At 40.5% G+C, this 24,852-nt stretch overlaps 1 annotated feature.

Moving 5' to 3' along the window:
• Positions 825-1,400: an enhancer, noted in NCBI's record as "OCT4-NANOG hESC enhancer chr1:232302616-232303191 (GRCh37/hg19 assembly coordinates)". NCBI's record gives its function as "activates a minimal SCP1, AML or CMV promoter by ChIP-STARR-seq in primed H9 embryonic stem cells {active_cell/tissue: H9 hESC(primed)}" and the evidence as "EXISTENCE:reporter gene assay evidence [ECO:0000049][PMID:30033119]".

Raw genomic sequence — 24,852 nt, 5'->3', positions numbered from 1 at the left:
TTTTTTTTTTTTTTTTTTTAAAGTTGCTCATAGACAGTCACCATCAACTTGCAAGAGGGAAGCTGTGGTGAGGATGCACAGGGAAAAGGCAGGCATGAGGGTCCTGCCTCAGGGAGCCCCTCCGTGAGGCTGCCACGTGTGGGACCAGCTGGAAGAAGACCATCAGAAGCTATTAAATATTCAAGGGAACTATTCTGCCTTGGAAACAAAAAGACCATAGAGGCCTTTCATCTGTTGAGATTAAAACAATACTTGTGTCTCCAAATTTGTGTGAGCAGCAAGTAGATTATAAGAGTTAGGGAGTTCCTGGCCGGGCACAGTGGCTCACGCCTGTAATCCCAGGACTTTGGGAGGCTGAGGCAGGCAGATCACAGGTCAGGAGACAGAGACCATCCTGGCCAACATGGTGAAACCCCGTCTCTACTAAAAATATACAAAAATTAGCTGGGTGTGGTTGGTGCGCACCTGTATTTCCAGCTATTCGGGAGGCTGAGGCAGGAGAATCACTTGAATCCGGGAGGCTGAGGTTGCAGTGAGCCGAGATCTCACCACTGCATTCCAGCCTGGGTGACAGAGCAAGACTCCATCTCAAAAAAAAAAAAAAAAAAAAAAGTTGGGGAGTTCCCTGTATTAATCACGTTTGGTTTTTTTTTTGTTTTTGTGGATTTTTTTTGAGACAAAGCCTCACTCTTGTCCCCTAGACTGGAATGCAATGGCACGATCACTGCAACCTCCACCTCCCGGGTTCAAGTAATTCTCCTGCGTCAGCCTCTGAAGTAGCTGGGATTACAGGCACCTGCGACCACACCCAGCTAATTTTTGTATTTTTAGTAGAGACGGGGTTTCGCCATGTTGGCCAGGCTGGTCTTGAACTCCTGACCTCAGGTGATCTACCCACCTTGGCCTCCCAAAGTGCTGGTATTACAGGCATGAGCCACCATGCCTGGCCTTAATAATGTTTTATTATTTTCTGTATTTTGATGCTTTAACAACTTTGGGCTTTGCTGACTCTGGAGGGACCGCCCCTCCCAGGTTAACCAATTCAGAGAGAGAGAGAGAGAGAGAGAGAGAGACTGAGTGTACCTTTCATATGCAAAGCAATCAATCCAGAGCTCATACTCCCAACCACTTCCCCTACAGGGTTCTCACACTCTAGGGCACTATCCTCGTGCCTTGGCCAGATGCCAGACAAGTAAGGCCGGCCCTTATGCACCAGAGTCCACTGAAATCATTCAAACTAGCCAATCCTAAGCCTGCTTACCTTACCTTGCCAGTTTCTTCCTGCGGAAATCAAAATAAAAGCTCTTCCCCACAGTTCCCCACCTCCCTCTGTCTCCTGACTGACCCTGTTGTTTCCATATATCTCCATCCCCCACCCTGCATGGTACCCCCCCGCCGCCTCTCAGGAACTGAATAACACACTGTTTTTTCAATGGTAACCATTTTGTGATATGTTGGCCTTACTATACTTTATTTTTTAAAACATTAATGCACTCTATTTTAAAACAACCCCACGTAACACAAACTCATCATTACCTATTTCAGATGTTGCCATGAAGAAAAATAGACACAGGAATTCCTTCCATTGAACAGAATCTGCTCTAATCAAGGAATTTTTCTTGCTCCCAGGTTAGGAAGACCATCTAGCACAATTTCAAAATCGCTATGAACAAGTAGCTGCCCGGTTTCCCATTCTTCCCTCTTCTGAATGGGAATGTTATTGTTATTTTATGTCTGACCCACAATTGTATATTGGGAAGGGTGGAGGCAGATAACCTGTGTTTTAAATTCGTAGGCTGTTGGATGATGAGAAGCAGCATAGGGGCCTGACAGAGAGGAGTGCTGATTATCCAGAGATCATGAACTTCCGTGATTGGGTGGGGGTCTTTTTTGTCGTTGCCCATGGGGAGGTTAAATTTTTTCCAAGTGGAAAAGGAAAGTGAATAACAGTGATCAGAAGAGTGGACCATGGCCTAGGCTACTAAGTTCTTTCCAAGATCTTACGGGTTCACGGCTTATCTGTATGTCCCAGTCTCTACTGGCAATAGGCATGACCACATGCTGGAGTTCAGGCAGGGGGATGAGGTTGAAAAGACGCATACAACTTTTAGCCCTAACCTGGCATCCTCACTCTCTTCCTCCTAAGTGGCAACTATTAATACATGCAAAGAAGGATTCTGGATGGGCCCTGGAGATGAAGAACTGCAGGTGAAAGAAGCCTGGGTCCCTGAATGACTACCTGGAACAGAGCCCTCTCTACTGCCAATTAAACCTTATGTGAGTGAAAATATAATTTTTTTCAATGTATATACATTTTTTAATCTTTTAAATGTTTTTATTTCAATAGCCTTAGGGGTGCATGTGTTTTTTGGTTACATGGATGAATTATATAGTTGTAAAGTTTGGGATTTTAGTATACCTGTGACCCAAGTAGTGCACATTGTACCCCAACAGGTAGTTTTTCATGCCTCTCTCCTCTCCCACCCTCCCCACTCTGAGTCTCCAATGTCCATTATACCACTCTGTCTGCCTTTGTGTACCCATAGCTTAGCTCCTACTTATAAGTGAGAACATGTGGTATTTGCTTTTCCATTCCTGAGTTACTTTACCTAGAATAATGTCCTCTAATTCCATTCAAGTTGCTGCAAAAGACATTATTTTGTTCTTTTTCATGGCTGCGTAGTATTTTATGGTATATATATATATAGATATATATATATATTCACACACACACACACACACACACACACACATCTTTTTAATCCACTAATCAATTGATATGCACATAGGTTGGTTCCATATCTTTGCAATTATGAATTGTGCTGCAATAAACACATGGGTGCAAGAGTCTTTTTGATATAATAATTTTTTTCCTTGGGGTAAATACCCACTAGTGGGATTGCTAGATAGAATGGTAGATCTACTTTTAGGCGAAAACATTATTTCCCATTAGTGTTGTGACACATGACATTCCTGATGAGGAGAATCTGGAAATACACTAGTTTTATTAGTCTACTCAGGCTGCCAGAACAAAATACCACAGACTTCAACAATAGAGATTTATTTTCTCACAGTTTGGAGGCTGTGAAGTCTGAGATCAGGATGCCAGCATGCTTGGGTTCTAGTGAGGGCACCCTCCTGGCTTGCAGATGGCAACCTTTTTCCTGCATCCTCGCTTATTGAAGAGAGAACTCTGGTGTCTGTTCCTCTTCGTATAAGGGCACAAGCCCTATTGGAGTAGGACCTCACCCTTCTGACCTCACTTAAACTTTACCACTTCCTCACAGGCCCTATCTCTAAATTCAGTCACATTCTAGAAAGGGCTTCAACATAGGAATTTGGGAGAAACACATCCAGTTCATGACACCACAAGACTTACCACTGATACATTATTTGATTCACTGAGCAGTGGTTGAGAACACAAGCTCCAAAGCTCATCCTACCACATATTAGCTGTGTGACCTTGACCAAGTTACTCAATCTACTTTGTGCCTGTTTCCTCACTTATACAATAGGTATTCTAATAGCACATATTTCAAAAAGTTATCATGAAGATTAAGTGAATTGATATTTGTAAAGCTTTTGGAACAGGGCTAGACTTCAAGGTACTATATTAAGCATTAGCTTTTATTTGAATTAGCAGTTCCACTTCTAGTATTATCTTAAAGTAATAATTATAGAGTTATTTACTTACTCAACAAACATTGAGGGAGCGCTGACAGACATTCCGCTAGTCACTAAGTAAACAGTAGTGAAAGAGTGGTGTGACCAAAGATTTGTAAATAAGAATCTCATTGCCATATTGTTTGAGACAAGAAAAACTGGAAACAACTTGGATGTCCCCAAATAAGAAATTAGTTAAATAAATTATGCTGTATCTATACAGCAGAATAAAATGTTGACACTAAAGGGATAAAACAGGAAAAGCTTCTAAATGCATAACTACATGGAGAGAGAGTCACAGTATAAATGTCTGCCTCAGGGCCATTTATTTGCTGTTCTTCCTGCCTAGAAAAGCTGACACATAGTAACTGCTCAATAAATAATTGTTGAATGAATGACCTAACTGAAAAAGATAAGTCGTAAAGTAATATGTACTATATAATTCTATTTCCCAAATACATACAGAGAAGAGAGACTTCAGAGTTTATACCAAAATATTATAATGACTACGATTGGTCAATAAGATTGTGGATGACTTCTACTTTATCTTTTTTGCTTATCTAGATTTTCTACATTGCATGTAACAACCATGTTTATTTTTATTAAAAGGGCAATTTATTTTTAAAAAGGCAGTTTATTTTGAAATGGGAGTTTATGTACAAAGAATTAAATATAGTTCACTAAGTAAAAATATTAATACAGGCCCCAGAATTATGATATAACAATGTGACATTTATCAAATGCTGACCATGTGCCAGCCACTGTTTTAAGTGCTTTGTGTACATTATTTACATAACCACAATCTTATATGGTAGTTGCAACAAATATGCAGTAGAACCTGACAGCAGCCACCTTGGGATAACTTGTTCTCCCCAGAACTATGCCAATTTGATCTTAGTTCATGGTCCAACAATTTTAAAAATTGTGGCAATATGTACATAACATAAAATCTACCATTTCAATGATTTTTAAGTATACAGTTCATTGGCATTAAGTACATTCACTTTGTGGGGCAAACATCACTGCCGTCCATCTCCAAAACTTTTATATCATTCCAAACAGAAACTCTATACTCATTAAACAATAACTCCCCATTCCCTTAAACTTCCTACCCCCCACACAGCCCCTGGAAACCACGATTCCACTTTCTATCTTTATGAATTTGCCTATTCTTGGTACTTCAAATAAGTGGGATCATACAATACTTGTTCTTTTACATCTGGCTTATTCACTTAGCATAACATCTTTCAGGTTCATCCATGTGCCAGAATCTCCCTCCTTTTTAAGGCTGAATGATGTGGCTTAGCTGTGTCCCCACCCAAATCTCATCTTGAATTGTGGTTCCCATAATCCCCACGTGTCATGGGAGGGACCCGGTGGGAGGTAATTGAATCTCATGCTGCTGCTGTTCTCATGATAGTGAGTGAGTTCTCAAAATATCTGATGGTTTTATAAGGGGCTTTTCCCCCTTTTGCTCGGCACTTCTTGCTGCTGCCATGCAAAGAAGGACGTGTTTGCTTCCCCTTCCACCATGATTGTAAGTTTCCTGAGGCCTCCCCAGCCATGCTAAACTGTGAGTCAATTAAACCTCTTTCCTTTATAAATTACCCAGTCTTGGGTATGTCTTTATTAGCAACATGAGAATGGACTGATACACTGAATAGTATTTCTTTGCATGTATAGAACACATTTTGTTTATCCATTCACCTGTCAGTGGACACTTGGGCTGCTTCCACCTTTTGGCTATTGTGAATAATGCTGCTGTGAATATCGGTATACAGATATCTCTTCAAGTTCCTGCTTTTGATTCCTTTGAATACATGCCCAGAAATTGAATTGCAGAATCACATAGAAATGCTGTTGAACTTTTTGAGGAACTGCCATACTGTTTTCCACAGTGGCTGTGCCAAAGCCCCGGAACTCAGAGGAAGCCAGTCTGGTGCCACTTTCCTTAATACCTCTCTTTCTTCCCTATCTCAACACTCCTTGTTTTAACTCTTTAGCACCCTACTGCTTCCCATCACTCTTGGAGAGGGTGGTAGAGGAGAGAGGAGGACACAGTGTGAAGCAGTTGCGGGAGCTCAATGCCAAATTTCAGGTAAGACATTTTTATGATCACTTTCTTCCTGCATAAAGGCGGCAAGACTCTTTGGGCACCTGAATTGTTGAAAATGATGGTCAGGTTGAGATTCCACTATGGAATCTCATTTTTATTTGTGGATCATATTTGTGAAACAATGGAAACAATTGTTGGGGATTCATATGGTTTGGATATTTGTCCCTTCCAAATCACATGTTGAAATGTGACCCACAGTGTTAGAGGTGGGGCCTGGTGGGAGGTTTGTGGGTCATGGGGGTGGATCCCTCATGAATAGCGTGGTGCCCTCTCTGTGGTTATGAGTTCACACAAGATCTGGTTGTTAAAAGAGCCTGGCACCTTCCCCCTCTCTCTCTGTCTCCCTCTCTTGCCACATGACATGCCTATTTCCCCTTTGTCTTCTGCCATGAGTAAAAGCTTCTGAGGCCTCACCAGAAGCAAATGCTGGTGCTTTGCTTGTACAGTCTGCAGAAATGTGGGCCAAATGAACTTCTTTTCTTTATAAATTACCCAGCCTCTGGTATTCGTTTATAGCAATGCAAAACAAATGATGGGGATGATGAAAAAGTTCTGGAGATGGGTAGTGGTCACAGTTGTACAACAGTGTGAATGTACTTAATGCCACTGAACTATGCACTTCAAAATGATGAAAATGCTAGATTTTGTTATGTATATATTATCACAATTAAATATGTATGCATATACAACCATATAGCATCCCCTGGGAAAAATCACAACTTCAGTTTTCTTCTCTATAAAATACCTTTTCTTTCTGATGCTCAGAACGGTAAGTTGATTACTCCAGATATACACATGCTTAGATAAGAATAAAACATTATGCAAAAGTATTTTGGTTTTGGTGAAATACTCTTTTTAGCAAGCAATAGTGTCTCACTGTTGGGATAATATTCCTGACCACAGATTTTATCCATCGGGGGACAACTGGGGTGGTGACAAAACCCAAGGCTCCTTCCATCTGACATCCACTGGCTACGGGAAATCCAGTGTGTTACAAATGTTTTTCTTTCCTTTTAGTAGGAGGATTGCCTCTCTCCATTGCACACGACCAGATGATGCCTTAAAAGAGTAAACTCCTGAGAAAACCCTTCTAAAGCAACTGAATTAGAAAAACAACAACGATGGGCTGGGCGCGGTAGCTCACGCCTATAATCCCAGCACTTTGGGAGGCCGAGGGGGGCGGATCACGAGGTCAGGAGATCGAGACCATCCTGGCTAACACGGTGAAACCCCGTCTCTACTAAAAATACAAAAAATTAGCCAGGTGTGGTGGCACGTGCCTGTAGTCCCAGATACTCGGGAGGCTGAGGCAGGAGAACGGCGTGAACCCGGGAGGCAGAGCTTGCAGTGAGCCGAGATCACACCACTGCACTCCCACCTGGGTGACAGAGCGAGACTCCGTCTCAAAAAAAAAAAAAAGAAAAAGAAAAACAACAACAATGGAACTGGGAACCTAAAGGACAATTCTGTCTGCTTTTTAGCTAATTGGAGGCAGGTTTCCTGTATGATCCCTGTGTCCCTTCGCCTTTCTTCACTTCTCCTGAGAGATGAAGTTACACTGCCTCCCAGGGATTGGCCATCCCAGTCCTGCAAGAGGCCAGGCATCCTTTCCTCACTGCAGGGGACTGATGAGCTCACACAACGTTAGGGGAGGAGCATCCCAATGACCTCAACAGATGAACCTGGGAGATTTCCCACGGACTGCCCAGCACCGGCCCTGAAGGAGCATAGCTTGGTTTGTAATTTCTCTTACAGATGTTTATTTCTCCGATTTACTGAGATTGATTTTTGGAATGTGCGGCTGCCTGAACTGTGCACACTTTCAGAGCTCGATGTAAACCATATACACCCTGCCTAATCCATCACCTCAGATTTACATTAACAAGGAGGCAAGCCAGGCAGTAGCAGCCGCCCTCTATCCTCCGTCCTTTTATGCCATTGTTATGATTTTATGCCTCTGCAATAAGTTACACACCCACCTTTTCCCTCACCCCCTATTCAGCTTTGTTTGCACTCCAGGCACAGAAAAAGAGAAAAAACTGCGGTAGATGGAAGCTAAGGCCCTGCAAACCAGTCATTCCTAGTTATCCGCTTTTAATACATCCCTCCTTTGCTGTCAATTTCCACTGATTCTCCATTTTCGTAGATGACAATGTCCTAATGACAGAACCTGGACTTGAGGAGCATATTAGTCTGTTTTCACCCTGCTGGTAAAGACATACCTGAGACTGGGCAGGTTACAAAAGAAAGAGGTTTATTGTACTTACAGGTCCACGTGTCTGGGGAGGCCTCAAAATCATGGTGGAAGGTGGCATGGTGGCTGCAAGAGAGAATGAAAGCCAAGTGAAACGGGTTTCCCCTTATCAAACCATCAGATCTTGTGAGAGTTATTCACTACCATGAGAACAGTATGGAGAACTGCCCCCATGATTCAATTGTCTCCTGCTGGGTCCCTCCCACAACACGTGGGAATTATGGGAGTACAGTTTAAGATGAGATTTGGATGGGGACACAGAGCCAAACCATATCAAGAGACTACTTTAATTTGCATTTTCAGCTGGATCCCACCCCCCCTCCTATTTGACTTGACCATGAGGTTCTACAGCAGAGGGCCCTGTCTTTCTCATCACTGTGCACGTAGCACATAACACATGCCAGTTGAACAGTTGTTGGGAAAATAAATGAAGCGCCCATCATCTCAGATTTAGTATCTAGTGAATCTGAAGAGGGCCTGGAAGGAGATGTCCCTGCAATGGTGAGCAGAGACTTAAGAAATCAGAGTGCTTGAACTCCCTTTCCAGTTGTATTAAATGGAGTGCCCTGTGATCCTTCATGCTGGCCAGTGAGAAGAGAAGGTCTGGCTTTTGCCTGTGGATGTTTCCTTCCCAGAAGCTCATAAGCTCTTGCCAATCTTATTAAACTCAGCCGTAAGCTTCTCAGTAATGATGGCTCCCAATTTTGCAGGTGGTCTTGCTACAGGCAGGCAGGCAGCAGACGAGGCTGTGCACTGAGATCCCATTTCATTTGCTCCAGCTCCTTTCTGAGCTGGAGAAAATGAACACGTGTGTCATCGCTATTTATGTTTTATAAATGCGAATATCACAGTATATCATACAAGATGTAAAACAAATGCACTTACCTGTGATAATGCATGCATTTAATTTAGATGCTAAATACAAATGAATAATGTAATAAACAAGGTGCTGAATGATTAAAATGAACCCTTAATTTCTCACAATTGTTCAAGAAGGAAATTACCGGAAAATATTAATGCTTTTCATAATGATCACTTCACTGCAGGTAAGCAGAAAGCCACTATTTCCTCCTAGGTTATCATTTGTCCCAATTCAATACAATCAATTCAAAGACCCTAGTGTCACTTAAAAACCATTCTTTCTTTAACTTTCATTTTAGGTTCAGGGGTACACATGCGGGTTTGTTATACAGGCAAATTGCATGTCATGGAGACTTTGTATACAGATTATATCGCCACTAGTTAATAAGCATAGTAACTGATAGGTAGTTTTTCGATCTTCACCCTCCTCCCCAACTCCACCCTCAAGTAGGCCCCAGCGTCTGTTTCTCCCTTCTTTGTGTTCATATGTACCCAATGTCTAGCTCCCACTGATAAGTGAGAACATGTGTTATTTGGTTTTCTGTTCCTGAGTTACTTCACTTAGGATAATGGCCTCTAGCTCCTCCATGTTGCAAAGAACATAATCTCTTTCTTTTTTATGGCTGCGTAGTATTCCATAGTGTATATGTACCACATTTTCTTTATCCAGTCTATCATTGATGGGCATTTAGGTTGATTCCATGTCTTTGATATCATGAATAGTGCTGCAATGAACATATGCATGCATGTGTCTTTAGGGTAGAATAATTTATGTTCCTTTAGGTATATACCCAATAATGAGATTACTGACTTGAATGGTAATTCTGCTTTGAGTTCTTTGAGAAATGGCCAGACTGTTTTCCACAATGGCTAAACTCATTTACATTCCCACCAGCAGTGTATAAGCATTCCGTTTTCTCTGCAACCTCACCAGCATCTGTTCTTTTTTGACTTTTTGATAATAGCCATTCTGACTAGTGTGAGACGGTATCTCACTGTGGTTTTGATTTGTATATCTCTAATGATTAGTGAAGTTGAGCACTTTTATATGCCTGTTGGCAACATATATGTCATCTTTTGAAAAGTGTTCATATCCTTTGCCCATTTTTTAATTGGGGTTTTTTGTTTTTTGTTTGTTAATTTGTTTAAATTCATTATAGATTCTGGATATTAGGCCTTTGTCAGATGCATAGTTTGTGAATATTTTCTCCTGTTCTGTAGGTTGTCTGTTTACTCTGTTGATAGTTTTCATGGCTGTGCAGAAGCTCTTTAGTTTAATTAAGTTCCCTTTGTCAATTTTTGTTTTTGTTGCTGTTGCTTTTGTCATGAAATATTTGCCAGGTCATATGTTCCAAATGGTATTTCCTAGGTTATTTTCCAAGGTTCTTAGAGTTTTAGGTAAAAAAAACTATTTTTCTACATAAATTTTTAGTATACAGACAATATTTTTACATTTTCATGTGGATTCATGGAGTTTTAGAATTAGAAATAACCAGAATGGCCATATAGTTCAATAGCTATCACAGGTGAGGAAACAGAAGACAAGGCAGTTAACAGTTTTCATAGCAGCATTTGTATATATTAAGGAAAAAATGTTTAGAGAACTGATTTTCTTTCCTGGTGCATATGTCACAGAAAATTTTGGCAATCATAAATGAAAATATTTTCTCTGGTTTAATCAACCTTTAGCCAAAAGTTATCTTTAATATGGTACCACACAGGACTTCTTTCTTACTTGCCTTTCCCAGACCAATTTCTTCACACAAAGTTACCAGATTGGATCTCTCTTTGACACCCTCAAACAGTCAAGGACTAAGGCTGGGTGCGGTGGTTTACACCTATAATCCCAAAGCTTGAGGAGGCCAAGGCAGGAGGACTACTTGAGCCCAGGAGTTGGCAGCTGCAGTAAGCTATGATCACACCACTGCAATCCAACTATCAAAAATAAAAATAAAGGACTAAGTCTGGGACTTAGTCAAGGACCAGGACTTCATGGAAAGTATTCCTCAGGGAAAGGAGATCAGCAGTGATAAGAAACTGTAGCGTGCTTTCCAACTTCTTCACGTCTCGTGCCACATAGACTGCTCTATGCGACACACCAGTGTATGCTGACAAGGCTGCTACTGATGGGGAGCAGCTGATTCTGCGACTTCAGCTGCTCCAGGGCCCACCTGGCAGTCCCAAGAGCTCAGCACATCTGTGCCTGTTCCTGAAACACCATTTGGATAGCTTGGGCCTATAGGAGACACAGATGGAGCCCCAGCAAGTGAGGCCCAGTCTGAGGGATCACCCCAAGACAAAGTCACTGAGGCATGTGTGGTATGAATTTATTTCCTGTTTCCTGTGTGTCTACATTTAGCTATCAGAAATTGAATTAAGGCTTAAGCGTAATCTTTACTTAACCAGAGCTGAGCAGTTAAACTCATTGCGAGGTCGTGTCCAGAACACCATTCTGAGGCTGACTAGATTTAAATATTTCATTATTTATAGCGACCTTGGGTATGTAGGAATTACAGCCAGGTGAAGGCACAAAAATTAACCCTGTAGGAGAAAAGTTGGACAAGCAGCCACCACAGAAAGGTTGATTTCATTCCCCTCTTGATTCCTTTGGTCAGATATATCTCTAAACACTTTCTCAGTTGAGTCTAGACAAAAGAGACCAAAGGTATTGCAGATTTCATTTGACGTATCCTAAAAGAAGTAGAATATTGAAAATACCCAGCATGATGCATTGTTCCTCATAGGCACTCTATAAATAAAAATTTCCTGCCTTTCTTTTTGTCTGCCTCTTTACATAGATTTTTTTTTTAATACTTTCAGTTCTGGGATACATGTGCAGAACGTGCAGGTTTGTTACATAGGTATACACATGCCATGGTGGTTTGCCACACCCATTAACCCATCATCTACATTAGGTATGTCTCCTAATGCTATCCCTCCCCTAGTCCTCCCATTCCCCAGCAGGCCCCGGTGTGTGATGTTCCCCTCCCTGTGTCCATGTGTTCTCATTGTTCAACTCCCACCTGTGAGTGAGAGCATGTGGTGTTTGATTTTCTGTTCCTGTGTTAGTTTGCTGAGAATGATGGTTTCCAGCTTCATCCATGTCCCTGCAAAGGACATGAACTTATCCTTTTTTACAGCTGCATAGTATTCCATGGTGTATATGTGCCACATTTTCTCTATCCAGTCTATCGTTGATGGGCATTTGGGTTGATTCCAAGTCTTTGCTATTGTGAATAGTGCTGCAATAAATACACGTGTGCATGTGTCTTTATAGTAGAATGATTTATAATCCTTTGGGTATATACCCCATAATGGGATTGCTGGGTCAAATGATATATCTGGTTCTAAACCCTTAAGGAATTGCTACACTGTCTTCCACAATGGTTGAACTAATTTACACTCCCACCAACAGTGTAAAAATGTTCCTATTTCTCCACGTCCTCTCCAGCATCTGTTGCTTCCTGACTTTTTAATGATTGTCTTTCCAACTGGCATGAGATGGTATCTCATTGTGGTTTTGATTTGCATTTCTCTAATGACCAGTGATGATACGCTTTTTTTCATATGTTTGTTGACCACATAGATGGCTTCTTTGGGGAAGTGTCTGTTCATATCCTTCACCCTCTTTTTTATGGGTTTTTTTTTTCTTGTAAATGTGCTTAATTTCCTTATAGATTCTGGATATTAGCCCTTTGTCAGATGGATAGATTGCAAAAATTTTCTCCCATTCTGTAGGTTGCCTGTTCACTCTGATGATAGTTTCTTTTGCTGTGCAGAAGCTCTTTAGTTTAGTTAGATCCCATTTGTCAATTTTGGCTTTTGTTGCCATTGCTTGTGATGTTTTAGTTATGAAGTCTTTGCCCATGCCTATGTCCTGAATGGTAAAGCCTAGGTTTTCTTCTAGGGTTTTTATGGTTTTAGGTCTTAGGTTTAAGTCTTTAATCCATCTTGAATTAATTTTTGTATAAGGTGTAAGGAAGGGGTCCAATTTCAGTTTTCTGCATAAGGCTAGCCAGTTTTCCCAACACCATTTATTAAATAGGGAATTCTTTCCCCAGGCTGATCTTTGACAAACCTGATAGATTTTTTTGTTTGTTTGTTTGTTTTTCAAAAAAATGTATCCTTGTCTTAGGGTCCTCAATGTATCAGGAAGTGTATAGCAGCAAAATAGGTCAGATCAGTCAAGTAGAAAAAATAGTACATAAAATATTTTAAAACTTGTTGAGAGTTTGCTACCATGATAGTCACTATTCAAGGTACTGTGCATGCTGCTGCAAATATGGTCATGCAATACAGAATCACATGTTAAATCAAAGACAGACCACATATGTGATGGTGGTCCGATAAGATTATAATGGAGTTGAAAAATTCCTGTCACCTAGTGGCACTGTAAATTTTGTAATCTCACAGTGTAATTACTTTACTGTTTTCATAGATTTACTGTAGCCTAAGTGTTTATGAAGTCTATAGTCATGTACAGTAATGTCCTAGGCCTTGCTGAACCTGATTCTGCAGGGTGATGAGCTACAAAATTCTTCCCCCACAGAGGAGCCCTCAATAATCCAGTAGACTAGATGAATGTAAGTGAGTCTCTTTTCCCAGAGATTCTAGTGCTTTCCCAGTTGGTTTATGAATAAAGCAGCCATAGAGGCAGAGACAGAGGTTATACATGGGCTCTAATACCGAACTGAATTTCTCCAACTCTTCTCTAGGTACTACCCAGCAGAAATAAAATTGAGCCCCAAATGCACCACCATAGCACATAAGGACTATCAGCGAACCTGGAGGCAGGTTGTTATTTTTATTTCTCATGGAAAAGCCACATTTTCTAGATTTAAGTTCGTGTTATCTTTCTGCCATGCTTCTGCAAGGAACGCAGTCCCTGCAGTTATTATTCACCATGATACCATCTTAACCAACATTGCTTTTATTCAAGAAAGTGGTTTTACAGTGAGCAAATTAAGGCAATGGGCTGATATGAAGTGTGTTTTAAAATATAGGATTTATTATTATTCAGGTGTGGTGAGGCCAACAGCTCAAGAGATGTTAGCCATTGAAAGCATAGCTTGTTACAATTCCTAAGGCGTGGGAGCCATGCCATGGCATTGGGGTGGGGGGCACACCAGGAAGCACCAGATTCAGCCAGGAGGCAGAGGGGAAAATGTGCAAGAGCCCTTATTTCTACACAGAGGGATAGCGAAGGCAGGGCAAGCAGGCTTAGGCTTGGCTAGTGTGAATAATTTCAGTGGGCTCTAAGGCATAGGGGCTATCCCTAGTTGTCTGGTACTTGGCTTTGGGGTAATTAGGGAAGGTGCATAGTAGACCAGAGTGTGAGAGCCAGCTAAAGGAGGCATGGGGGTGTACACTTTGGACTGGTTAATCTGCACATGAAAGGCATGCTCCCCTCTATCTCTGGGGCTAGTCAGGATGGTCCTTGACTATCTAGGAATTGGTTAATCCTGGGAGGGGCAGTCCCTCCACAGCCAGCAAGGCCTCAGATGCCAATAAATCAGAATACAGAGGATAAAAGACATGATTAATACAGATGGGATTCTCTGCTCCCAGCATGCATCCCTTTGCTCAGAAAGCCTTGGAGAAAACATAAAATGATTGTATTGAAAACTCAGTAAGACTTCTTTCACAAGGAAACACCTTGCAAATGTGGAGTGCTGTCCTCCAGGATGTACTGTATGCTCTTTACTGCTGTTTCTTTTACAACCACTATACATTGTTCAAGAACAAAGGGGTGAAAGTGGAAGTGTCTTCTTGCACTATTACAACTAATGATCCATTTGCAATGTTCGCTTCTTATTCCCATGAATTTAGACACTCTTGGTATCTTTTAATAAACATTGCTTTCTGCTAAAACTAGTTAGAATAGATATCTTTCTACAACTAAGAGCCTGATTCCATTTAGACTGACCCTCACAGTAACCATATGAAGAAGGCTGTATTGTCACTGCTGTCATTTTACTGATGGAGAAATGGACGCACGGAATAGTCCAAGGCCCCCAAGCTAGTCAGCTGAAAGGCAGGACTTAAATTTAGGTTATTTAATTCCAAAGCCCTATTATCATCCTCTGTGCTATGTAATATCCAAGGATCTAGCAGACCAGGAGTAGAGGATGAGGGGGAAGAAAAGTAAGTGTAGACGCAGGTAAAAAAGATCCTCAGAGAATTTTAAATGATTTATCTGTGTAGCCAAAACTGTAAGTGACGGACATTTGGTTCAAACACAAATTTATGGATTCAATTTCTGTATTCTTTTCACTACACCATATGTAAATTACTAGCTGTGTTTATATGAAATTAAGAGCTTATGAAGATGAGGAATTTTAGAACTGTTGGATGAACCGGCTATCTTTGACTATGCTGGAAGGCTTAATGAATGAAAATGACAAGCTCAAGGTTTTAAATTCTTAGTTTAAGACATGGTTTAAGTAAAAGAATCTAAGATATTCACTCTCCATGTGTGTGCCAGCTTGTAATTAACTTATTGAAAATATGATTCAACCACATTTAGGAATATTAAATATGATTAAATTTAGATATGTTTCTTATAGGGATTACATGAGATTAAGTTATCCTATGGGGACTATTATAAAGATTTGTCTAAATATTTAGAGTACTTATACTTAACATATATGGATCGACTCATACCACTGTAAGTAAGTATATATATGTAAATGTGAGGTTTGTTTCAACCAAAACTTCAGAAGATGAAGAGTATAATTTTCCATCTCAGCTCCTTGTATCACATTTAAGCCTATATCCCATCTGTTCTAATATGTTCAATGATTTCTCAAAGTTTTTGGTCCACAGTTGGGACTTTTAAAATGTATTCTAGCATTATGATGTTTCACTTTTGAAACCCAACATTGTGTCATTTATTAAGGTGAACCTTAAGATGGTGGGAAGGTGGATGAGCTCCATCCGTCATCTTATATTAGAAACATCATAACCAGCCGTCAAGAAGGTGTTTTTCCCTGGAATATAAATATTTTATTATTAAAATGTCATGGCTCCTGAGAATATGAATAAATATGTTATTTAAAAGCATACCCAATTATTTATCTACATCAGTTTAGACTCATGGATTCTCATATTATTGTGGGTTATATTAATAATTTATTATTATTATTTATTTTTCTCAAATTTTCACAGATTTGGCCATGAGGAGTCCTTTCAAATTGGGTCTACATACCTTTGATATGTTCCCATCATTTTTTTGAGATCTTCCTTACTTTCTGGCACCTCAAAATGTTCAGGTTTGTCTGGTACTTTCCTTGCCCCAGACCTGGAATCAGAACGCAATAGAAATTTTAGGTAATAGATGATGTGCTTATTGATATTGGGGTGTGATTGCTTCCAGGCCCTCTCAGTCAATGAAACCAGGAGTACATCTGTGATTCCATACTGATATAAATATATAATTGTATAAATAAATAAATGGGGGAAAAAGAAAGCTTTTTGGTAGATTTTTAACTACAAAATGTAAAAGATATGATGGAAATAGAAAATTACCATTTGGCAAACACCATACAGATCATTATTTCAGTAGAGTCTAAAATTAGCGGACAAAAGTATTAAGCATAATGAGAAACAGAATAGTCACATAGTCTCAATGTATCTCCTCACAAGACACTTATTAATTACAAAGAGAAAAATAATCTATTTACAGTGAAGGAAGCTGGCAGACACACAACTTAACCAAGTGATCAAAGTCCCCATCACCAGAAATGGGATGGGCAAATGGGCTGTGTGCTCCTTGTGTGATGCACTGACAAGTACATAGCAGGACTCTGGGATGTGTCTAGCAGAAGTTCATACATCGTCTGAATCTAATCACAAGGAAGCATCAGGCAAACCCAAACTGAGAAATAGTATCCACAAGAACTAGCCAGTATTCTTGAAAAATGTCACGATCATGACAGACAAAGGAAGATGGAGAGACTATTCCAGATTAACGGGGACCAGGGAAACATGACAACTAAATGCCACGTGTGATTGTGAATCAGATCCCAGATTAGGAAAAGGGCTTCATAGGACAATGGGTGAAATCTGAGGAAGGTCTGCAGATTAGATAATAGGATTGAGTCAGTCTTAACTTCCTGATTTTTGAAAGTTTTCCTGTCATTTGGGAAACCTGGGTGAAGGCTATACCAAAAATTCATTTAGTATTTTGACAACCATTTTCTAAATCAAAAATCATTTTAAATGAAGAGGTAAAATATTAGAAACATTTTCTAAAAGCATACCCAGAAACAGTTATGTGAAAGGAACCAAATGCCTAGCCATGAAATATTGCTGGCTGCCTGTTAGGGTAGCTGCTCTCAGAAAGACCAGGAGAGCGCCCGGTCTTTCTGAACTAAGGCGGGTTATGACTAACCCTTCTCTTACCTGAGGCTACACTTATTAGCAGCAAAAGGGCAATGACCACAGCAGCCTCTGGAGGCTGGCCCTTCTAGAAGACCAGGTAGGGGAAGGTTCTTATACATCCCGAGTGTACCCTAAAGGATAATTGCATTAGAAAATGGAGTACTTTTTGGCCAGGTGCAGTGGTGGCTCACACCAGTAATCCCAGCACTTTGGGAGGCCAAGGCGGGTGGATCCCCTGAGGTCAGGAGGTCAAGACCAGCCTCGCCAACATGGCAAAACCCCATCTCTACTAAAAATACAAAACTTAGCTGGGTGTGGTGGCAGATGCCTGTAATCCCAGCTATTAGGGAGGCTGAGGCAGGAGAATCGCTTGAACCTGAGAGGCAGAGGTTGCAGTGAGCTGAGATGGTGCCATTGCACTACAGCCTGGGTGACGGAGAAAGACTCTGTCTCAAAAAAAAAAAAAAAGAAAAGAAAGAAGGAAAGAAAACAGAGTACTTTTTAATTTAAAATATATATTTAAAAGATGTGTGCTAAAAACATTTTTGCTACCATCTTCAGCTACCAAAAAAACCACTTGTGACATTATATATTTCAAGGTTATATTGAAATGCACAATTAATGCAGCTATTTTGATGAGCTATCAGTTGTTTGTTTTTCTTTTTTGCAACTTGGATGCTATGGTCTGAATACTTGGTAATATCTGAACTAAGGAATATTTGGATTTCAGGCACTGGTTAAATTTACATTATGAACAATAAGCGCTCTTCTCAGCATGAGAAAATGTTTTCTGAATTCAGGCACTTGTAATAACACGCAAAATTAGTGAAACAGCAATATGTATATTAAATTCTTGAGTGGAAATGACTTTAATGACTCATACTTTACTCATGACATTGAGCACGGAACTTGACTCATAAAAGGTTCCCTAACAGATTTTTAAATGATTTAATATTTGTTTATCCTCAAAGTTTATTTGTTTTAGAATATTTGCCTATGCATTGTCTTTTTTTGCACGGCATGGAGGAATATCTTCTTTGGTTTGCGTGTCCTCTTTGGAATAAATAACTAACTCATCTCCAGTACTAGCTTATTTTTAAATCTAAGAGTTCATTATCTTCACTTTCGATAGTCTTTCATTGTTGCAATCTCCATAAAGGGGCCCATGGCAAAGCTCCTATTGCTCTGGCCTCTTCTTGAACCCTCGTGGGTGGGACTAGGGTTCCAGACATTCCCTCCTTCTCCAGTATGTCTAAACATACTCAGAATATCATTTTTTATCTTATAAAAAAGAAGCCCTCTGCTATGCTGAGTATACTTAACGAGGTCTGCAGGGCAAATGTTAATCTATAGGATATACACAGGATGTTTAGAATACGTTTGTATATTATAAACCATATAGCCAATATACCATGTGTATTCACTCATGCACATATACACTCTGCATGCAATTCTGTGTGTTTCTAGGCATATAGCTAAGAATGAAGTGGTTGAAGCTTGCATGGAGGAGGTGGAGACCTTGCTAAAATCATGATGTGTTAGCTAATAAATATAAGTAAAATCTCTGACCACCCACAAATGCTTCAGTTAGAAGAAATGTGCATAATACATTTAAGTGACTGATACATTTTAAATGTTGGAGATTGGCACTGTCCAGGGTAGTGGAAAGAATGTTCGACTTAAATTTAAAATATACAAATCCTAATCCTAGCTCGACCACCTGTTACAGAGTCATCTAACTTTTCTAAGTCTCAGGGGTTTTTTATTTATAAAATGAAGTAAATATGCCTATCTTCCAAATACGAGCAGATTAAACAGAAAATGAATGTGGCCACTTTTTGTAAATATTAAATTGCTTCATTCAGGTATTCCTCAAATATGTATTGAGTGCCTCTGCATTAAATGCTGGGGACACAGCCATAAATAGGTCAGATATTGTCCTGCTCTGATGGACTCTCCCTTCTGATGGAAGACAGACATTCAACAATTCATTACACAATGTATAGTTTAATTGGCTCTGAAGCCTTTATCAAAGGGACCTATCCTGGCTCAGTCTGGGGAGTCAAAGAAAGCTTTCTTGTGTTGGTGTATGCTGAGCTGAGTAAGAATTACAGATGGCAGCGGGAGGAGAGAAGAAAACATACCAAGCAAAGGAAGCAGCATGTCTAGGGGCTCAGTATCTTGCCCACTGTGGTGCTAACAACAGTAATGCATTTATGTCTAATGCAATGGGAAGTCATTGAGTGTTAGTAGCTTTTTAGTAGCTTTCATTTTTTTAAAGCAGTTCTAGGTTCACAACAAATGACAGCAGAAAGTACAGAGAGTTTTCATATACCCCCTAATGTCCTCCATTAGCCTTCTTGACCATTGACATCCTGCACCAGAGTGGAACATTTGTTACACAGTCAATGAACCAGCATTGACACATCATCGTCACCCAATACCCATAGTTTCCATTAGGGCTCACTCTTGGTGTCGTATGTTCTATGCGTTTTGTACATTCTATGCAGAGGACATATATCTATCATTGTAGTATCATAAAGAGTTGTTTTACCACCCTAACAGTGATTTTGATAAAGGGAGAAACATGTTCAAAATTGCCTTTCAGCAGGATCTCCAGTGGCAGCATGGTAAATGAACTGAAGGTGTCCAAGAGTGAATGTAGGAAGTTGATCTAGACTAGAGAAACTTTAGAAATTTGGGTTAAAATCCTTGAAGGTCCATGGAGAGATGAGCTCAAGACAAATGAGGGGAGGAGACCAGAGCAGAGCCCATCATGGGACAGCAGGAAGTAGCCACAGGGAGAAGGTAACTGGGAGTTCCTACACAGAGGTCACTCTCACTCTAACCAGAAATTCAATAAGCCCCCTGTCCCTGAGAGTTCAAACAAAGCTCATTGTTCACATGGCTTCTTTATGAGAATAGCCTTGTGTCCACTCACTGAAATGTCCATGACTTCGTCATGCCTATAAGGACTTAACATGTTTAATATTATCAGCTTCCCATGAGCATGTCCTCGTGTTTATTTTCTGAGACACATGATAAGACAGAGATCGGAAAGTGCCTCAGCTTTTCTTAGCTTGACTTTTCCACCTCATTCCCCAGGTCAAAAAAAACTGTCCTTAAGAGTGAGGTTTTTCTTCTTTGCAGTTTAGCTTCCTGAGAAAGCAAGGAGGTGTTGCAAGGTCCTACACAAAAGAAGGCAGTCACATTTAGCCAAGGAGAAAGAGAGGGAATACAATTCCAAGTTCGGAAACATTTTCATGTTGAATTTGAGATTTTGTAAGAAAAATTCAAAGTTAGGCAGTTGATGTGTGGCAAAAACTGCAAAACTTTATAGCTAATATGCAAAAGTTGGCTTTTGGAGGGAGTCATTTGCTTGACAAGTACTACTGAGTACCTACAAATGTAAACTAGACAGACCCTTTCAATTTACCTTTTATCAGCTTTCCTAAACTCGAACAAATGTCAAAGGGCCCTTCTTTCTTCCTTCTTTCCCTCCTTCCTTTCTTCCCTTCTTCCTTCACTTCCTCCTTCTTTACTTTCTTCTTTCTTCATCCCTTCATTCTTTTCCTTCTTCCCTCTTTTCTTTCTTCCTTCCTTTCTTCCCTCCCTTCCTTCCTTCTTTCCTCTCGCCCTTCTTCCCTTCTTTTCTTCCTTTTTTCTCTTTCCATCTTTCTCTCTTTCCTTAAGTTTATTCAAAAGTATGGTGTTTTAATGTTTTCTCCTACTTGAAAACATTCAACTGCTATGTTCTCAACCAAACTATTCCAAAAATTACCTAAAAAAGATCAAGTAGAGAGGTCAAGAGGTGAGGTATAGAGTCTTGAGGGAATTCTTCATGTGAATGAGTTTTATTCATTTCCCTGACTTTATCGCTTCATTCTCAGTTGCCCCATTGGCCACTAAAGACCTTTAGCCCTTCCTTTCACTTCTTCAATTGGAGAGATTTGGAAGGGAGGTGGGGACATTTTTAAATAGAGAAGACATAAAAGGAGGAGAAAATATTTGAAAACGCTTGCTTTAAAAAATGTATAGGACACTGACTACAAATAGATTCTGGGGCTCAAATGCTTAGATTCAAAATCCTGCCTCCTCCAACGGTCAGCTGTGTGATTTGAGGCAGATTGTTCAATTTCTCTGTGCCTCTGTTTATTCATCAGTAAAAACAAGATGCTTTGACAGGTTACTTGTCTGGTTAGCAGGACAGTTCTGGGCACATGGTAAATAGAACCTTCCATCACCACTGCTGGAGAAGTGGGGCTCACCACTTTAGTGAACTGATCAAAGTAGCAAAGGGTAAAATCAGAGCAAGGAGATACGTCTTCTCCCTCCAAATGCAGTGCTCTCCCCCCACCATTCCCAGCTTCTGCCTAAGTGGAATCCCCCCAAGAGTGAAGTTCGTATTCAGAATTCTGAATATCTCCCTAGAGTACTTAGCCACAGATGCATATTTCAATTTCTCTTTGGGTCACCTTTTCCTTATTGTATTTTACATGTTTGCATTCAAAATTGAAATGTGTTTTCTACCTAAGTTCCCGTCAGTTAAAAATATCATGCAGTACATCCCACTGTGGAGAAGAAATGTATCTAGTTCATATAGTCAGAGAAATATGTGGTTAAAGTCTTTGAATGGCTGTGTAAGCAGAGTGTCTACTCATTAGATGAGCATATACATCCTTTTGTAACTCCTTTTTATTAATAACTCATTCATTAAGCACTGGTTCCAGCAATCTAGAAGAATTACTTTTTAGTTTGCATCTTAGAGAAAATATGAGAGGGAAAGAAGAAACCATGGTAATGTGCCAATGACTGCAAACATAGTGGGACACTGGACCACCCTGATGCAGTCACCCAAGGTTCAGGTTCTGGGGGAAGCATAACAAGACACTCCACCAGCCTCCAAAGAAACAATTCATACAATCAACCTAACCTCACATTTATCTTGTCTTGACGGTTATTGAGTCATTAATCTTCCCAGTGTCAAGGCATTGTCATCACTGAACCCAACTAAATGAGTATCCATGCAATAAATAGAGTAGAGTACACATGGGTGAGAAAAACCTTGGCAGCAATAAGGACAGCATCACCTAATGAATTACCAGGAAATGTTGAGTAAAACCAGTGGGCAGAAGAGGAGAAGCAGGAAGCGGTGGTGCCAGGATCTCATGACTGCTCCCCACCCCATCATCTTTCTTGAACCAAAGCTACAACATGGCAAGGAGAATCTGTGCTAGATTAACCAGAGGCAGAGCCAGCAATGTTTACAGCAAATCAGGGGTGAACACACATGCGCAGGTATGCACACACACCCACTGAGTCAATATTCTTGGGATAAAATTTGATGCAGGATATTAAAAAAACATTAAAGTCATCAAAAAGTCAGAATTTTGATCAATTTATTACACTATATTTTAATTACAATTGGGAGGAGAGGGTGTTCTGCCAACTTCTTTTCTTTTTTTTTTTCTTTTTTTTTGAGTCGGAGTCTCGCTCTGTTGCCCAGGCTGGAGTGCAGTGGCGTGATTTCAGCTTACTGCAACCTCCGCCTCCAGGGTTCAAGTGATTCTCCTGCCTCAGCTTCCTGAGTAGATGGGATTACAGGTGCGCCCACCACGCCCAGCTAATTTTTGTATTTTTAGTAGAGACAGGGTTTCACCATGTTGGTCAGGCTGGTCTTGAACTCCTGACCTCAGGTGATCTGCCTGCCTCAGCCTCCCAAAGTGCTGGGATTACAGGCGTGAGGCACCGCGCCCAGCCTTCCCAACTTATTTTCTATGTGTGAGACCTAGAGGCTTCTTCTGGCCCTAAAGAGAATGAAAAGAACACGGAATCAACAGAATGGCAGAGCAAATTGTTGGTGAATACTTGGGAGGGTATTATGACCCTAAAACGATAGTTATCAAGGCCCTGAGTGTGCTACGTCCTAATATGGCATCACATCTAACGGAAGGATCCCCGTCAGATCACATTCTGGGTAATATTTAATATTATGGACTGGATGCTCTAAAGACTTGACATCAAGGCCAGGTTGTCCCATCCACGCCTTCCAGGCCCCAAAAAGCTGCTCTCTGGCCTACAGGTGTTCAGCCTGTCAGCTGTACTTCCTTATCCTGCCTCCACCCAGGGGCTGCGTGTACTTCAGGGCACATGAGTCTGAAGCAGTCGACTCCCAACTTTTCTGAATGTGAAGCCCTATTAGTTAAAAACTTTTGAGCATGTGTTCCTTATGTATTGTTACAAATTAATATATTACATTATACACATTTGCTCAAAAGCAGAAAATTTAACAGAATGAGACATTACTTATTTTCTGTGTAGTTCCTATACACAGAAAATAAGTTGGCAGACCATCCTCTCCTCTCATCTATAATTAAAATACAGTGTAATAAATTGGAAAAATTTCTCACTTTTTTGATGATTTTGATATTATTTTTATAATATCCTGCAAAGATGAACCACTGTAGCTTTCCTGCCTTCTGGGTTATATTCCCTGCCTGCAGGCAGAGACTGTGGAAGCCATGGCTTTTGTGAGTGCCACTGGGCTGGACCTGGGCTCTGCTGGGGCTCCTATTGTGCTGGGTGGTCTGAAGTCTGGCCCCTGAATTCTAGGATAGGAAGAACAGCTGGGGGAGTTTAGGAATGAGGGGTGGGCCCAAAGGGGTGCCGAATGACTCAAGGCAGATGCATTTAACCAGGTCCGGTATTATCATAGATTTATTTGTTTTGGGAGGAGAAATACAAAATTTTTGGAAAAATATATCACATAACCAATGGAAATATTTGCAAACTGCTCTCTACGTCACATGAGTTGCTTCTGAAAAGTACTTTCGTTGTTACTGTTAACTTGTCACCTCCACATTGTACATGAATGTGTGTGTTCCTGTGTATATCTTTTCCTTCGTTTTCAAAAACATCCGTGTTCTAGTGACAAGAATGTCCTTATTAAATATTTTCCAAATTTGGCACACTTGTCTTTTTGTAAATGAAAAATTTCTAATTCATCCTTAAACTTTATAACTGTACTTTATTTGCCCTGAGATAACTTAGGAGCCTCTAAGAGGCACAAATTATTTGTATGATCATTCCTTCACCTCATTACAAAATGTGACAATCATCCTATATTCTTAGACAGATGATATCTGCAGGGCTACTGACAAAGACTCTCTTCTTGACCAAATTCTAGTCAGGCTCCACTGAGCCCCCTTCTCCACTAGGCCTCATCCTTGGCCTATAAAGGCTTGAACAAACACAAACACAGTTTCTAGCAGCTCAAGGCCACATCCTTAGCATGCCCCTAATCTCCTTAAAGTGCCTGCCTGAGAAATGCAGGGCTGCCCAAGGAATTTACTGTTTGTTTCAGCCAAAACCTGAAGATAAGTACCCTGTCTCCCAGCCTCCAGAAGGGCAGCGCTTTGAGAAGGAGCACTTAGAAAATCCAGATAGTTTCCACATGGACCAAGCTTCCTCCCTCCCGCCTTTGATGATTTTTCACTTCCCTGACTCTCCTGAGTCCCCACTCACACCTCTCCTCATTCCCTTATTCTTCCTTTAAAATGCCTAGTCACTGCTGCAC

The sequence above is a fragment of the Homo sapiens genome, chromosome 1 (genome assembly GCF_000001405.40).
Source record: "Homo sapiens chromosome 1, GRCh38.p14 Primary Assembly".
NCBI classification, from domain to species: Eukaryota; Metazoa; Chordata; class Mammalia; order Primates; family Hominidae; genus Homo; species Homo sapiens.
Note: the sequence above shows the minus strand (reverse complement) of the source record. Positions and strands in the feature narration are given on the sequence as shown.